Consider the following 18,462-nt stretch of genomic DNA (forward strand, 5'->3'; position numbering starts at 1 on the left):
GAAAATAGGTATTATAACTTCCATTCTACAGATGAGGAAACTGAAGCATCCAGGAGTTCCATAACTCACTCAAGATCACACAGCTGGCAAATGCAGATGTGATTAAGACCCAGGTTGGCTCCAAAGCCTGGGTTTTTTAAGCCTCCCCACTGGGGTACTTCCAGCATTCTGGTGTTGGAGATGAGGACTAAGCTCTGATTTTTTAATCGTGTCCAAATTCCTATCTAAGGAGTCTGGGGAGTCATGCCATACAACCATAAATTCTCATCAGATGGGTTTTATTTAACCCTCTATATCATGACTTACTTTCCAACCTGACCCTGGCATAACATTACGAGACAAGGAAGAAAATCAAAATATTTTACCCCAAAACATGTTTCTTTGCCATATTTTGAAATGGCCCTGCAAAGCTGTCTTTTGTAGGGGAAAATCTGCATCTGTAAAAAATCTCTATTAACATAGCTAGATATTTTTCTTCCAGGCCCTCCCAATCCTGAAGAGAGTAACTAAGAGTTTAGCACCTTTCAAAGATCTGAATAGAAAACATTTGTCATCTATTGCCTCTAAGGGCAGCCACTATGAGACTTCAAAAGAACCTTGTCTCCACAATCATTTATCTTCACCCGAACATTCCCTTTCCATCGATCCCAGGTCATTAGACTCAACCAATTGTCAACCAAAAAATGTTTAAATTTACCTATAGCCTGGAATCCCCCACTTTGAGTTGTCTCGCCTTTCTGAACCAAACCAATGTATTTCTTAAATGTATTTGATTGATGTCTCATGCCTCCCTAAAATGTATAAAACCAAGCTGCAGCCCAACCACCTTGGGCAGATGTTCTCAGGACTCCTGAGGGCTGTGTCAAGGGCCATGGTCACTCATATTTGGCTCAGAATAAATCTCTTCAAATATTTTACAGAGTTTGACTCTTTTTGTTGACAGAGACATAACCCTGAACCTCAGCTTAACAACATCAGTTAGTAAATACCAAATTACATGTATCCAACATAGAAAATACAGGGGAGAGAGAATTCCAACTCTCATTCTACCCCAATCAGTAGAGGAGACCTTAAAGTCTTCTGAAAAAATGCCCCTCTGTATCTCTTACCACATCAATGGGATCTGAAGGTTCTAGGACAAGGGTTGGTAAACCTAACAGGGGTTAGCCTGCAGGCCAGATCTGGCCCGCTGCTTGTTTTTAGAAATAAAGTTTTATTGGAACACAGCCATCGCTCTTCATTTACATATTGTCTATGGCTCCTTTCGTGCTCCAGTGGCAGTATTAAGTAATGGCAACAGAGCCTGCGTGCCCTGTAGAGTGTTTACTATTTGATCCCTTACAGGAAGTGTGTGCCTATTTCTGCTCTAGGCTAAATAGGTTTCAGACACCTATTGCCAACATTTGCTCTTGTTTATGTCCCAGGATGAGACGGTTTTCCCCATGTCTAACTGAGCATCCCTCTACCCCTTGGAACATCCTCAACACAAACAAATCTAGGTTAGAGATCAGGAAATCTGGTTCAGCCTGAATTATCTGTGTTCTGACCTTTCTGCCCACAGATAACACTATCAGTCCACCAGTAAATCATGGGCTATGGACCATAGGAATGCCCTGAACCATTCTAACACACAATTTCCAGACTTCTTTCTATGTGCCTGGTGTGTCCCAGATGACATCATAGACACCATATTATTAATAGATGCCATTAATAAAAAGTATTTACTTTTTTAAAAAAAGTGAACGTTTGTCAAGCGTTTTGCTGATGAAGTATAATCTCATTTAATCCTCACAACAAACAGAGTGAGTATTATTATCCCCATTTTACAAATGGAGACCATACCTTGAAGATTACCCAGGCCAAAATTGGGAAAGCGGTCTGCCTGTGTCAAACAAAACTTTTGTCTTCACCAGTCTGGTTGGCGCATAAAATATAATCATGCTCAACAAATATATTAAGTAAGCCAGGCCTAAGTGTTAACATAAATACATAAAGCACAAGCTCTGTCCTCACACAGCTCAACTACATAAAAGAGACTGATTGTGAGCAGGTAATGATAGAGCAACACCATTAACTCCTCACATACCAGGAAGCCTCAGAGTCTAAGAGCAGAGAGAAAGGGCATCTAACCCAGCATGGGGCTTCCATGAGTAAAGGGCATCTCAAATCATTCTTGAAGTATACACAGGCTGAGGCCGTGATGTTAATATTAGGTGTCAACTAATATTGACATTGGATTGAAGGATGCCTAGAGAGCTGGTAAAGTATTGTTTCTGGGTGTGCCTGTGAGGGTGTTGCCAGAGGAGATTGACATCTGAGTCAGTAGACTGGGAGAGGAAGACCCACCCTCAATGTGGGTGGGCTCCATCCGATTGGCTGCCATCATGGCTAGAACAAAGCAGGCGGAGTAAGGTGGGATAAGCTGGCTTGCTGAGTCTTCTTGGCTTCCATCTTTCTCGCATGCTGGATGCTTCCTCCCGTTCCTCTTGCCCTTGGACATCAGAGTCCAGGTTCTTTGCCGGAGGCCCTCAGGCCTTCAGCCACAGACTGAAGGCTGCACTGTCAGTTTCCCTGCTTTTGAGGCTTTTGGACTTGGACTGAGCCCCTACTGGCTTCTTTCTTCCCCAGCTTGCAGATGGCCCATCGTGGGACTTCGCTTTGTGCTTGTGTGAGCCAATTCTCCCTAATAAACTCCATGTCCTATATACATAGATCCTCTTAGGTCTGTCCCTCTGGAGAACCCTAATATAGAGGGCACAGCCTGAGAAAGGACAGGGTGGCAACGAAGTGTACATATGAGCAAGTCTAGGACCCTAATAAGATCAAATCACCAAATAAACCACCACCCCGATCAGGCGTCTCAAACTCATGGCCCCTAGGCAGACTCCAACCTACAGACAAATTTTGTCTTATCTACACGGTAGTGACCACAGTATATTTTTTTACTTGAAATTGTTGCCAAGAGTTCTGCATTTGCAGTTTTCTCATAGAAATCTAGATTTTCAGCCTTTCTTTAAAAATCCTAAGATCTGCAATCATTGATCCCAGGTTTCCCTGGACCAAGCACTGGCTAAGATGAATAATGACTGCGCACTTTATTTTCCTCATGCCAAGGCATGTCTTGTCCTTTATCACCACACTTGTGCCACACACGTTTTCTCTTATGTTCAGGCATCCTCATTCATTGACGTATGTGTGTCACCTCCAAAGGCATTTGAGTATTCAGCCCCTGGTCTACTCCATAAAATCTAAGCTTGTGGGTATGGAGTTTCATTCACTGGCCTCTGTTTATCTTTTCCAGGTTTTTCCCCTATGGCTGCTCACACACACACACACACACACACACACACACACACGCAACTATCACAAACTTTCTGAACTCCCCTGAGCTCACCATTTTCTTCCTCACCTCCTTGACTTCACAAATGTTGTTCCATCTGCCTGGAATCTTCCTTCTTGCCCTAGTTCACCTGGAAAACTCCTATTCATCTTTAAAGATCTAGTTAAAATGTGGACTCCTCTCCAACATCTTCCCTGAACCCCACCCATCCTCAACAGACATCTCTCCTCTGGGGTTTCATAGCTAGTAACACCTTATATCTTCCTCCATGACTGCAGGAAGCAATAAGTAGAAGCCAGGAGCCTCGCGGAGACCGTCAGGGCAGCCAGCTGAGAGGGGATGAGGTCTTCGGCCAGGTTGGAGAGCAGGGAGAAGTGCTGAGATTCTAAGACATTTTGAAAGTAGAGCAAACAGGATTTACTAATTGATCTTTGTCTTTCTTTGCTGTTTTAAAGAAGAGAATGGACCTTCAAATATTCAACAAGCTCCAACATGCAGAATTCTTTCTGTCCTTGCTCTTTGGAATGGGGGAGGGAGGGGAAGCATATTGAAAGATTCCCACCCTACCCTCTACTTCCAACCAACGCGCTCTCTCCAGGGTTCAATTTCTTGGCTGTTCCCTCTGTGTCCCTGTAATTCTTCCAATAAACCAAGAATATAAAGTTTGTTTTCACATAGAGTGTGTGTATTATATATGTGTGTATATATACACACATATGCCTGTAACCCCAGTGCTTTTGGAGGCCAGGGCAGAAGGATTGCTTGAGGCCAGGAGTTTAAGACCAGTCTGGGCAACAAGATGAGACCCCCGTCTCTATAAAAAAATTAAAAAAATTATCTGGGAGTGGTGGTGTGAGCCTTTAGCCCCAGCTACTTGGGTGGCTGAGGCAGGAGTACCACTCAAGCCCAGGAATTTAAGGCTGCAGTGAGCTATGATTGTACCACGCTACTCCAGCTGGGACAACAGAGCAGGACCTTGTCTCTTAAAAAAGAAAAAAAGATATCTATGGAGCGACTACAGTGTGTCAGGTGCTGCTCTATGCACTGGACTACAGCCTGTTGGCCTGGCTGGTCTTGAACTCCTGACCACAAGTGATCCGCCTGCCTCGGCCCCTCAGAGCCCTGATATTAAAGCGCTGATATTACAGGCGTGAGCCACCGTGCCTGGCCTGCTTTTCCATTCAGGTAGTTATGTGGTCATATTTGTATGCAGTTTTAGATTTGTTTTTTTTCATTAAAAATTTTGTCAAGAACATTGACTTAAAACGATTGGAATACTAAAAAGCATAATTTTTATTTTTATGTATTTTATTTTATTTTGTAAGCTCTGGGGTACATGTGCAGGATGTGCAGGTTTGTTACATAGGTCAACATGTGCAGTTGTGGTTTCCTGCACCTGCCAACCCATCATCTAGATATTAAGCCCAGCATACATAAGCTCTTTCTCCTAATGCTCTCCCCTGCCTCCACCCTCCCTCGACAGGTCCTAGTGTATGTTGTTCCCCTCCCTGTGTCCATGTGTTCTCATAAATACATGATTTTTAATCATTATCTAATATTTTACTAGGTAAATGAACCGACATTGTAATTAATACTATCATTTCCTTATTGTTGGATGTTCTGGTTGTCTTTAATATTGTACCCTTATAAATAATGCAGCCATAAAATCCTTCATCACAGCAGTCTTGGTCTTATCTCTGAATATTTTATTAGGACAAATTCCTGGGAGTGAGGTGACTGACACAAAGCAAATGAATTTTTCTTTCATAATGCCTGAAGGCTCAAATATACGGAAGAGAAGTTATTGATACCTTCGCGTGAGGATATTTGATTTGTTCAACCAGTTGTTAACAGATGACTTGCTGTTGAGGTCATGATTCCATAATTTTGGAATTATTATCCAGCTGGTGGCAATTCCTCGGATTGTAATCAGAATACTTTGGAGGTAACATAGAGCATCTTGTATTATGTGTTGGACTTAAACTCTTAAGAAATGCCCAATTTACAGCTAAAAGACATACAAGTAGAATCAACGTAAAAATATATAGAAGAGACTTAAGAGCATTGTGTGGACCTTACTTGTATCTGACCCAACAAACAATTGCTAATAATAATAATGTATTACATTTATAGGACAATTAGAAATTTTAAAAGGGGCTGGATTTTGATAATATTAAGGCCTTCTTGTTGACTTTTTATATGTGATGTTGAAAGATGAATCCTTATTTGAAAACACTGAAGACAAAATGAGGCTGGGCGCAGTGGCTCAAGCCTGTAATCCCAGCACTTTGGGAGGCTGAGATGGGTGGATCATTTGAGGTCAGGAGTTCGAGACCAGCCTGGCCAACATGTTGAAACCCCGTCTCTACAAGAAATACAAAAAATTAGCCAGGTGTGGTGATGCATGCCTGTAATCCCAGTTACTTGGGAGGATGAGGCAGAAGACTAGCTTGAACTCAGGAGGCAGAGGTTGCAGTGAGCTGAGATCATGCCACTGCACTCCAGCCTGGGTGACAGAGCAAGACTCCATCAAAAAAAAAATTAAATAAATAAATAAATAAATAAAATGATATGATGTCTGAAGTTTTCTTCCGGGTAATTTGCGGGGTGGTTGATGGGCAGCACTGGCCTTGGGTTGATGGTAGTTGGGGCTGGGGTCTGGGTACGTAGAGGCTTATTTATACCAGAGGTCGGCAAACCATGGCTGAATGGCTAGATCTAGCCCTCTGCCTGTTTTCGTAAATAAAGTTGTATCAGAATACAGCCATGCCTATTTGTTTGCAGATTTTCTCTGGCTGGTTTTGCGCTACAATAGAGTGGAATTGTTGCAACAGAAACCATCTGGCCCACAAAGCCTGAAATATTTCGTATCTGGCCCCTTACAGAAAGAATTTGCCAATCCTTGACTTATGCTATCCTACCTACTTCTGTTTATGTTCAAAATCACTCATAATACAATATTTTAAAAAGAATTAACATAAAAAAGATTATGGTCCCTACAACTACTACCATAGAGTACTGTTCGTCTACAAACACTATCGCAAACATATTAAACCACAGCTGAAATGTCTGTGGGGTTATTCTTTTAATAAACATTTATTATTCTTTTTTTTTTTTAAGACAGAGTTTCGCTCCTGTTGCCCAGGCTGGAGTGCAGTGGTGCAACCTGGACTCACTGCAACCTCTGCCTCCCAGGTTCAAGTGATTCTCCTGCCTCAGCCTCCCAAATAGCTGGGATTCCAGGCATGCACCACCATGCCCAGCTAATTTTGTATTTTTAGTAGAGACGGGGTTTCACTCTGTTGGCCAGGCTGGTCTCAAATTCCTGACCTCAGGTGATCCACCTGCCTTGACCTCCCACAGTGCTGGGATTATAGGCGTGTGCCACCACACTTGGCCAAAATTTATTATTCTATAAAGGTGATAGATACATGCATGGTACAAGATTCTTAAAGCATGCTCTGGAAAGTAAGCCTCTGTCTTGCCCCTGACTCTCATCTATGTAGTTTCCTTCCCTGGAGGTTCTTTTTTTATTCTTCCAGGGATAATCTCTGCATGGACAAACATAATATAAATGTCTAATAGCTTTTATTAGACATGCCTGAAGACAGGCATGTCCTGTCTTCAATAGATATCTTTAATAAATTCAAAAATAATATATTAAGTGGAAAAAACATTACAATACAATACAAATAATGCAGTCATGTGTGTGTGTGTGTGTGTGTGTGTGTGTGTGTGTGTGTGTGTGTAGGTAAATGGAAAAGAGATTGAAATCATACATAACAAAAGTTGACACTGGCTGCCTCCACATGGTAGAATAAAGAGTGAACGAGTGGCTTAATTTTCTCTCATTGTTTATTCTCTTATTGTTTACCTATATTTCTTAAATCAGCAATAACGAACGGGCACTACTTTCATACCAGAGTGCCTGGTAAGTTGTTTCTTAGGATGTTTCTGTAAGAGAATCTGAGTTTGTTACTCTGGCCAGGTAGACACAAAAAGACTTATAGGGAAGAACCACTTAGCCTCTTCCCCAAAGTCCTAGGTGGGCAGGTTTCAGGCTCACAGGCGCCCAATATCCTCTGGGGGAAATAATGGGACCCCTGTGACCTGGCAGGTGCTGCCCCTTCTGATATCCTTGACCTGGCAAGGGTACTAGAAGGACATGGGGAGGACAGGGGCAAATTTGTCAAGAGGACCAGAAGCATTTTGGGAAGAGAGAAATGAAGAGCAATCCTTCCTCTGGTGATGATGATGATAATGGTGGTGGTGATGCTAGTACCTCCAGGATGCATTGGGATTGTGAGTCTTGGGAAACGGACACCAAGGCTACAAAGCAAGGAATCATGTCACCATGAGGACCGCTGAACCAGTGGCAGAGCCTCAACACCAGGCCCCAGGGTTAAGTGAAGAAAGGCTGGTTAGACCAGCACTGGAAATCATCACTGAACAGAAGGCAGAGGCTAGAGTGATGGAGGGGGCCCGCACTGCAGGCAGGCAGGATACTCAGAAGCCAACAAAAGCTGTTCCAAGCCACCAGGTGAGCTAGTTTCCAAATCATTAATTCTCTCTTTGCCTGTATTTGAAAGTCAAAGTATCCCCTTTGATCAGAGCTTAAAGTCTTACCCTGGGGTTCACGTTCACGTATAATCTTCAGAGAGGTCGGAGCTCTGAAGAGGGAGGATATTGGACTCGTTGTTAACATAAGTATGAGGGGTAGCTAATTACAAAAATTAAAATATTAGGGATATCTTTTACCCCAAGCTGGAGAAACAATTCATTCTCTATTTTATTCCAATCTGGAGAAGTAACTTGTTCTGTTCATGCATTTTAAGTAAATAAACAGGCCGGGCACAGTAACTCATGCCTGTAATTCCAGCACTTTGGGAGGCCGAGGCAGGAGGATCACTTGAGGCCATGTGTTCAAGATGATCCTAGGCAACATAGCAGGACCCCATCTCTACAAAAAAACACAAAAAATTAGCCAGATATGGAGATGCACACCTGTAGTCCCAGCTACCCAGGAAGCTGAGGAGGAAAGATCACTTGAGCCCAGGAGGTCAAGGCTGTGTGATTGTGCCACTGGCACTCCAGCCTGGATGACAAAGCAAGACCCTGTCTCCAAAATAGATAAATATAAATAAATAAATATTAGATACAAGAGATAAATACATCAATAGATTAGTACATAAATTTAAAACTAAACAAGCAAGTAAAGTCTCAAAGAGAAACAAACAAAAAAAAAATCCCTGCCCTCCATGTCTCTGAAGCGTTGCACGCAGGCTTTGATTGATGTAAGTTTTTGATTTTCAGAATGTTATATGCTTGAGTTCATGTCATGAAAAAAAGGTCTGCATTCATCCCGCAGTGAGAGACGAATCTCTATTCTCCTGCTGATACATCCATCAGCATCCTTAATCATCCTCCTTCCGCGGAGGTTTATCATCCTTCTAGTTATTCTATTACTCACTCTGCTATTAAGAGGGCAAGAACCATTTCATTTTTATGTTGCCTGATCATATCATTCAGCTGGAAAACATCGTTAAGGAACCGCAGCGTAAAAGCCAGTGTAAACACCACCACCCAACCGTAATCTCTAATGCCATACTAATGGAAGGCCACTGTTTCTGAATGGGGCCATATTCAATGCCTTAAGATAACTTCGGATACCGTTTTTCTGCAAGGATTTTAACTGCAATCCTGAAGACGTTAAATGAAAGCACCAAGCACATGTTTATGGCCTATTTAACAAAGCTAGCACAGGGCTATGTATAAATACTTATGTAGAAATAGAGCCGAACTGGGACACTTTGGGAGAAAATGATGGAAAGGGGACGGTTTTGGAGTTCTGCAAGAAAAGAGGTAACACCCATTATTTGGACTCATGGGAAAAATAGCATTCACTTTGGACTCCAACTGGGAAATTACTCTTCCAGACAATAGAAAAAATGTTAATTAGCTTAAAATGTAAGGCACATAAAAACAGGGTCAATATTATTAGTCATCAAAGGAATGCAAATTAAAACCACAATAAGATATCACCATGCACTCACTAGAATGGCTAAAATAAAAAGGACTGACCATAATCAGAGCTGGTGGGGGTACAGAGCAGCTGAAACTCATGGAAATGCACAATGAGACTGCCATGCTAGAAAAGAGTTTGGCAATTCCCATAAACATTCCCTTACTTTACGATCCAACAATTTCACTCCTAAATACTTCCACAAAAATAAATGAAAACATATGTCCACAAAAAGTCTTGTAAAAGAATGCTAATTGCAACTTTATTTATAACGGTTTAAAACTAGTAGCAACTCCAGTGTTCACCAGTACGAGAATGGATAAATAAGGCACAGTAGATTCATATCATGGAATACCACTAAGCAATAAAAGGTTCTAGGCTTCTTCTTTTTTTTTTTTTTTTTTTTGAGATGGAGTTTCACCCTCCTGCCCAGGCTGAAATGCAGTGGCACAATCTTTGCTCACTGCAGTCTCCGCCTCCTGGGTTCAAGCAATTCTCCTGCCTCAGCCTCCCGAGTAGCTGGGACTACAGGCACACGCCACCACGCCCAACTAATTTTCTGTGTTTTAAATAGAGACGGAGTTTCACCATGTTGACCAGGCAGGCTGGTCTCAAACTCCTGACCTCAGGTTATCCGCCCACCTTGGCCTCCCAAAGCGCTGGAATTACAGGCATGAGACACAGCACCTGGCCTCTGCGTTTTTTGTTTTTGTTTTTGTTTTGAGACAGGGTCACCTTCTGTCACCCAGGCTGGAGTGCAGTGGCATGATCACAGCTCACTGTGGCCTTGATCTCGCTAGCTTAAGTGATCCTCCCACCTCAGCCTCCCAAGTACCTGGGACTACAGGTACATGCCACCATGCCAGCTAACCTTTTAATCTTTTGTAGAGACCGTGTCTCACTATGTTGCCCAAGCTGGCCTCGAACTCCCAGACTCAAGTGATCCTCCCACCTCAGCCTCCCAAAGTTCTGGGATTTCGATGTAAGCCACCGTGACCGGCCTTCTTCTTCTTTTTTTTTTTTTTTTTTGAGGCGGAGTCTCGCTCTGTCACCCAGGCTGGAGTGCAGTGGCGCCATCTTGGCTCACTGCAAGCTCCGACTCCCGAGTTCACGCCATTCTCCTGCCTCAGCCTCCCGAGTAGGTGGGACTACAGGTGCCCACCACCACGCCGAGCTAATTTTCTGTGTTTTTAGTAGAGACGGGGTTTCACCGTGTTAGCCAGGATGGTCTCAATCTCCTGACCTCGTGATCCGCCCGTCTCCACCTCCCAAAGTGCTGGGATTACAGGCGTGAGCCACCCTGCCCAGCCGACTGGCCTTCTAATCCATGCAACAGGATAAATCTGACAGACATAAGACTGAGCAAAAGAAGTTCAAGGACATGAAAAACTAATCTATAAGGATAGAAAGCAGAGCAACAGTTGCCTTTGGAGGGTAGGGCGGCTCAAAGTGGGTATGAGAGATCTTCTAGGGTGATGAAAATGTGCTGTATCTTATAAGGATTTGAGTGATATAGCTTAAAAGATTTGTTAAAATTTATTAAACTGTACATTTAAATTAGTGCATTTTACTCTTTCTAATTATGCATCAATAAAAATTTGCAAAGGTGCAAGCCCCAAGTTTGCTAAGAGGCTAAGAGCTGCAGAGATAAGCAAAAGGAAAAACTGAAAACTTTCCTGGGCAAACAGGGGGCATTTTGCAGAGTGAATTGGAGGGAAGCCACTTCCCTGGGGATAGAGCTGATAAAGTTCTGCTTGCTAGAAATCTGAATTCTGACAAATTGACAAAGCAAAGACTGAGAATGAAGGTCCGAAAACAAAACAAACAAGTGCAAAGCACTATCCCAACACAGATCAGGAGATCTAAGGATGGTGGGGAAAGTGCAAATAAGATCAACAGAATGTGTTGAACACGAAGCAAGCTCTAAGCCAACAAGAGTACACCCTGCTCTCTTAGCCACGTCAGACTGATTACCGCCACGTCTTGGTAATCCTTCTGTACTTCCTCTCATGATTACTGTAAATATTTGACCTGAACTAATTCTATAGCAAACTCTGTTGAGTTTTCATTCCATCAGGTGGATTCAGGCATTCCCGGCTAATCTTAGTGTAGTCTTCCTTAAGTCCTGAGTTAAACAGAAATAAAAACTGGTAATTATTGGGGATTTAACCAGGTGCTGGATACCAGGCTAAGTACTCAACATGCTTTGATTCGTTGAATCTTGCCCCACCCATGAAGTAGGCACTGACAACAGAACTCCTGTTTTACAGATGAAGAAGCTGAGGCTTGATGGAATAAAAATGTGCCTATAGTTACAGAGGTAGAAAGTGAGAGGTGCGATTCAAACTCAGGCCATGGGACCCCAGAGGTGATGAACTAACCATAGTGCTCTATTGCCCCTTCCAGGTATTTTTCAAAGTGAATGGAAGCTACCCAAATATTGTAGAATCAAGGAGACTCTAGAACTCTCATACTACATGTAGACATCAAAGACATAGAGAAAGAAGCCGTGGCCAGCCAGGACCAAGAAAGCCTACTACCCAGGGGCTCATTTATTCATTCATTTGTTCAACAAACATTTAAGAGCCAACTGTATGTTAGGCGTTGCTTCCCACTGACAAAACTAGAACTGAGAGCCAAAAGCTATTCTACTACATTTTGGTGGCAACACCTTACTCCAAAATGTACGCATAGACAACAAAGCAGAAAAACACAACCTGAAAGTCAATATCCCTTTTAGAAGTCTGGAAACACAAATGCAGTGTCAGTGTAGCATAAGCTAAAAATGTGTAGGGTGGCACCCGCAGACAGTCTGGTATAGGGCTGAACATCTCATCCCTTCTAAAGAGGCCACCTCTGCTCCCTGAACAGATTCATCAGGCTCTATGATTACCTCGTCATGCAGAAATTGTTAATCAATGTTGCCTAAGCAACACATGTAGAATAATAAGTCAAGACAGACTCCTTAACGACAAAGCTGTGGGAAATTGCTGGCATGTTGGCATTGACCGATTGCTGAGACATTGCTCTCCTGGGCTGAAGGGGGATGCAGGAGGGACAACAGGATGCAAAAACTGATACTACAGGATAAGCGGAAGTGATGGGACTGCACAAAAGGCATGTAGAATAGATGCTGTAGGATGGCAGTGTCACGTACCGAAGCAGTGAGGGTAGGATTATGTTCTGGCTATGCCACCACTAGTGGCGAGGGTCTCTCATTTGCCCTCTCTGAACTGTTTTTTTACCTGTAAAATGGAGTGAAATAATTCCTGCAATGCCAAACTCACGAAGTTATTGATAAATGTATGTGAAATTGTCATATAAACTGTGAAAGCACAAAAAGCAAGGTATTGGGATTGGGGGTGTTTTTGTCTGCCCACCCAAAATTCTGACCCAATTAAGAACTAGGAGATTGGAAGTATCAGAATGCCAACTTCATTAATGGTAGCTGGACCTGGTCCCCTTGCTTGAACCAAGGGTTTCTGCTTCTTCTTGCTTTTGCTTTAAGCAGGGCAGCTAGAAAACATAGCAGGGGTAACAGAAGGAAAGAAAAGGGGAAAGCATGCTCCACCTGCAGGCAGAGAGGGCAAAGAAGTTGACCATACACAAGGAGTCATCAAGTCATCTTTCTCAGCACCCAGATAAGCTACTTCTACATCCATGAGGAAGAGCATTTGGGCCAGAGGAAGGCCATTACCTCCCCCATTTTAGGCCCTCCAAAGGGCCAAAAATGTTGATAAAAATTCCAATTTTTAAATCAAGAGTCAATAGATTGACTGTCCCAATCACTCTTCCCAACTTTTGCCATCTCCTACTATAGAGCCTAGAGAAGTCCATGACTTGATTTCCCAGACTCCCTTGCAGCTAGAGATGGTGATGTGACACAACGCAGGCATAAGTTAAAAAATTTACAAAGAGCTGGATTTGAGACATGAGATGGCTGGGCTGCAATCACTTGTGATCACAAAGGAAAGGGCATGAGAATTGCAAAGATATCAAGTCGGACCTTACTGAGTCACTGAACTCACACCAATAACCACTTCCCAGATGTACAACCTTGCAAACTGGCAAACCAAAAGTGCATGATTGATTCTCACCCTTTCTTTCACCTTCCTATTCATGTTTATAGTAGTTCAAAAAATAAATGTAAATTTTAAGGGGTTTTCCTACCATTATGGGTTTTCCTACAATTTTTGTAAAAAACAATCAGACTTAATTTGAACTGTAGGTAGGGTTTTTTTTTCTATCCAACTCTCACCAAAAGCTTTGTGGAATAAAGGAATACTTATGTAGGATTCTTTGAGAGATATTCAGACCATCATTTCTCCGCAATGAGGGGCTCAAACTAGTCTTAGAAACTTCCCCATGAGGACAAAAAGATTCCATCATTAAAGAAATTTGAGGATTGTTGCCTGTTTCAGTCATCTCTTGCTGTATAACAAATAACGCTACAACCTCTTCCTGTACCTGAAACCTGACCTTCCTCTGGGATTTTTACTTAAGTGAGCCAAAAACCCAGCTTTTATTTTAGCTTAAGTTGGTTAGACATGGGTTTCTACCCCTCACCATTGTTTACAATTCTTCATGCCCTTCCTGTAATAGAATTATACATTCACACCCATCGACAGGACAGTATCTCACACAAGAGTGGGTAGGGTATATTGCGGAATCCTACTGATACTGGCTTGGCTATATGACCTGCTTTGGCCAGTGAAATTTGAGTGTAAATGACAACGTGCCAATTCCCAGCAGAGGCTTCCAGAGGCAATAGGTATTTTTGCTCATTATCTTGCACTTCTGCCACTCACCACGAGAAAACCAGGACCCAGCTAGTCACTGTTTCAAGGACACGAGACACAAAGAGCAGAACTCAAACCTATTTTTTATCAATTAAAATTACAGCTATTCTTATGTTCCAGACCTTCTCTTGGTGGACTCGAAAGCTACACAAACAATTCAAAAACAACATCTCTGTATGCCCCAGGAAATATCAGCATCTGGTGTCTGATTCTGCTAAATCAAGCCTGATCATTTCGTTGCTCATCATCGCAAATAATGTGCTTACAGCTTGGAACATTTGCGCATTAATGAACTTAGAAAATAGCTCTCCCCCTCCCCCCCTCCCCCTCCCCCTCCCCTTTCTCCTTCTCCGGCTTTCCACGGTCTCCCTCTGTTGCCGAGGCTGGACTGTACTGCCTTGATCTCGGCTCACTGCAACCTCCCTGCCTGATTCTCCTGCCTCAGCCTGCCGAGTGCCTGGGATTGCAGGCGTGCGCCGCCACGCCTGACTGGTTTTTGTATTTTTGGTGGAGACGGGGTTTCACCATGTTGGCCGGGCTGGTCTCCAGCTCCTGACCTCCAGTGATCTGCCTGCCTCGGCCTCCCGAGGTGCCGGGATTGCAGACGGAGTCTCGCTCACTCAGTGCTCCATGTTGCCCAGGCTGGAGTGCAGTGGCATGATCTCGGCTCGCTACAACCTCCACCTCCCAGCCGCCTGCCTTAGCCTCCCAAAGTGCTGAGATTGCAGCCTCTGCCCAGCCGCCACCCCGTCTAGGAAGTGAGGAGCACCTCTGCCCGGCCGCCCCGTCTGGGAGGTGAGGAGCATCTCTGCCTGGCTGTCCCGTCTGGGAAGTGAGGAGTGCCTCTGCCCGCTGCCCCGACTGGGAAGAGAGGAGCGCCTTTGCCCGACCTCGACCCCATCTGGGAACTGAGGAGCGCCTCCACCCAGCAGCCACCCCGTCTGGGAGGTGTACCCAACAGCTCATTGAGAACCGGCCATGATGACGATGGCAGTTTTGTCTAATAGAAAAGAGGGAAATGTGGGGAAAAGAAAGAGATCAGATTGTTACTGTGTCTGTGTAGAAAGAAGTAGACATAGGAGACTCCATTTTGTTCTGTACTAAGAAAAATCCTTCTGCCTTGGGATGCTGTTAATCTGTAACCTTACCCCCAACCCCGTGCTCTCTGAAACATGTGCAATGTCAACTCAGGGTTAAATGGATTAAGGGTGGTGCAAGATGTGCTTTGTTAAACAGATGCTTGAAGGCAGCATGCTCGTTAAGAGTCATCACCACTCCCTAATCTCAAGTACCCAGGGACACAAACTCTGCAGAAGGCCGCAGGGTCCTCTGCCTAGGAAAACCAGAGACCTTTGTTCATGTGTTTATCTGCTGACCTTCTCTCCACTATTGTCCTATGACCCTGCCAAATCCCCCTCTCCGAGAAACACCCAAGAATGATCAATAAATACTAAAAAGGAAAAAAAAAAGAAAATATGTATTAACCACCCACTATGTACCAGGCAATATTCTAGGCACAGGAGATATAGGAGAGAGTAAGGCCTGAGCAGCCCTTACCCTCATAGAGCTAACATTCCAGTGTGTGTAGAAAGGAGGTAGGAAAGCAACAACAAACATATGAACAAATCGATATAAAATATGTCAGCTAGTGATAAAGACTATACAGAAAAAATGAACAGCAGAAGAGAATAGAGAGTGGTTGATAAGCCAGGGAATGATAACTTAAGGTGGTCATGGAAGTCCTCAATTCTGATGAGCAGCCATTTGGGCAAAGATTTAGAAGAAGCCAAGGAGACAGCCATGTGACTATGAAGAGAAGAGCATTCCAGGCAGAAGGAGCAGCCAGTGAAAAGGCTTAAGGAAAACCAAGGTCTTAGGATTGGAGTGAAGAGAGATGGAGGAAAATAACAGGAAGGTGGAGACAGGAGGTGGACCTTGTAGGCCTGGAAAGCCATGGTAAGAACTTAAATTGAAAATACTGACCACTTGGATATATGCCTTTAAAAGATAGAAGATGCGTCAGACACCACAGCTCATGCCTGCAATCTTAGCACTTTGGGAGGCCAAGAAGGTAGGAGGGTATGTTGCCCAAGACCAGCCTGGGCAACATAGCGAGACCCCTACAAAAATAAAAAATTAGCCAGGTATGGTGGTGCATACTTGTAGTCCCAACTACTCATGAGGCTGAGATGGGAGGATCCTCTGAGCCCAGGAGGTTGAGGCTGCAGTGAGCCATGATCACACCACTGCACTCCAACTTGGGCTACAGAGGGAGATCCCGTCTAGTCCCAACTACTCAGGAGGCTGAGATGGGAGGATCCCCTGAACCCAGGAGGTTGAGGCTGCACTGAGCCATGATCACACCACTGAACTCCAGCTTGGGCTACAGAAGGAGACCCCGTCTCTAAAAATAAAAACAAAAAATAAAAGCCAGGAGAGGGAAAGCTATGTTTCTTACATAATTTTGCTTCCTGTGATTTATAGATGTGGAAGTGCCAGGAACTGTACCAGATGCCCTCTGTATGCTTCTCTTTAGTTTAAACACATGTAATGTTTAGTGAGTGTCAATCTGCATTTCTAGAAATCAAGATCCACTCTACATTCCAAATCAACAGTAAGGCAAGAGAAGAAGAGGTGTGTATTTAAACTTCTCTAACCTGTCCTCAGTTCAAGATGAAATTAATGCATGGTTTCACATGTGGAACGTGGAGATCATATAAACAGTCCATTAAATTGAATCACACACATAAGAACCAGTTTTCTATTCTACCTAGCAGATTAAAAATCCAACTTTTAATTTCAAATGGCCTATGCAATCATCTCAATTATCCTATTCAACTGCAGAGGTAATTTAAACTGTGGATTGCTGCCCCATCAAACTGTCTATTTATAATATGTAATTCCGGCTTAGATTCCAAGGATAAATATTATCCTCCCAAAAAATTCAAGTTCAAGGTAATTCACAAATAATAGTTTGAAAAGGAAATAAACTGTGTGCAGACAATATGATTGAACAACCAGGAAAACCAAGATAATTAGCTTAGGAAATACTAGAATACGAGTTCTGTAAGATGGCTAAATATAAGATAAATACACAGAAATCAATAGCTACTTCATAAACCAACAAAATAAAAAGATCCCACTCACAAAAATATATATATGTATGAGTGTGTAGATGTGTGTGTCCAGGAGTGATTTTTACAGTCTGGTTTTTATATGAAGATACTACAATACTACTGTTTAACACACTTGAAAAAAATGACATATAAATATGCACAAAAAAAATATTAGCTTTGCGTATAAGGCTTATGATGTGCCTGACACTGGATTAAGTATTTTGCAGGTATTTCCCCCAAAAATTTTCCAAAACCCTGTAACAGAAATTTTTTTTTTTTTTTTTTTTTTTTTTGAGACAGAGTCTCGCTCTGTCGCCCAGGCTGGAGTGCAGTGGTGCAATCTCAGCTCACTGCAAGCTCTGCCTTCCAAGTTCACGCCATTCTCCTGCCTCAGCCTCCTGAGTAGCTGGGACTACAGGCGCCCACCACCATGATCGGCTGTTTTTTTTCTTGTATTTTTAGTAGAGATTTAATAATCTATGTGGCAAGCTCTATAGATGTTGGTCAGCTTTTCTCGCCAGCCATCCCAGTGCTTGGATCCACATGCAAACTGCCCTGGGTGGCAGGGATGGAGGCCATGCATGGCTTCAACAACATGGACTTTCCCCGACCAAGGCTAACCAGGTGCCAAATCTGCCAGCAGCAGAGACCAACACTGAAGCTCACCATTGCATCATTCCCTGGGGAGACCAGCCAACCACCAGCGGCAGAATGACCCCTTCCATCACAGGAAACCTGAGGAATCGTTGGACCCCTTCCATCACAGCAGGGGCAGAGATTCATCCTCACTGAAACAGACACATGTTCTGTATGTAGGTTCATCTTCTATCTCCATAATGCTTTTGCTAGCACCACCATTTATGAATTCAAGGAATGCTTTATTCAGTGTCACAACATTGCCCCTACATTGCTCCTGAACAAGAAATGCCTCTCACAAAACATAAATGCATCATTTGGCTCAGACTCATGGAATTCACTGGCTCTGCCACACACTCAATCATCTAGGACGAGCTGGCCTAACAGAATGGAGGAATAGTCTACTGAAGGCTTCATTACAAAGCCTTTGAGGAGACAGCACCCAGAAAGGATGGAGTTCTAGCTACAGGATGCAATCTGTGCTTTGATTCAGCAGCCAATTTCTCATGCTGCTTATCCTACAGCCAGATTACATTGGAGGGGGCAAGC

General features: G+C 43.3%; 1 long non-coding RNA gene across 1 annotated transcript in view; it reads right to left on the reverse strand.

The window, feature by feature from the left end:
* Positions 1–8,262: 8,262 nt before the first annotated feature.
* Positions 8,263–18,462, reverse strand: part of LOC105371093 (uncharacterized) — a 43,766-nt gene continuing 33,566 nt past the window's right edge. Inside the window, exon 4 of the long non-coding RNA XR_007065000.1 lies at positions 8,263–8,300. This is a non-coding gene — a long non-coding RNA (uncharacterized LOC105371093). The remainder of the gene's footprint in view (positions 8,301–18,462) is intronic.

This window comes from Homo sapiens, chromosome 16 (assembly GCF_000001405.40).
Source record: "Homo sapiens chromosome 16, GRCh38.p14 Primary Assembly".
In the NCBI taxonomy this organism is placed as follows: Eukaryota; Metazoa; Chordata; class Mammalia; order Primates; family Hominidae; genus Homo; species Homo sapiens.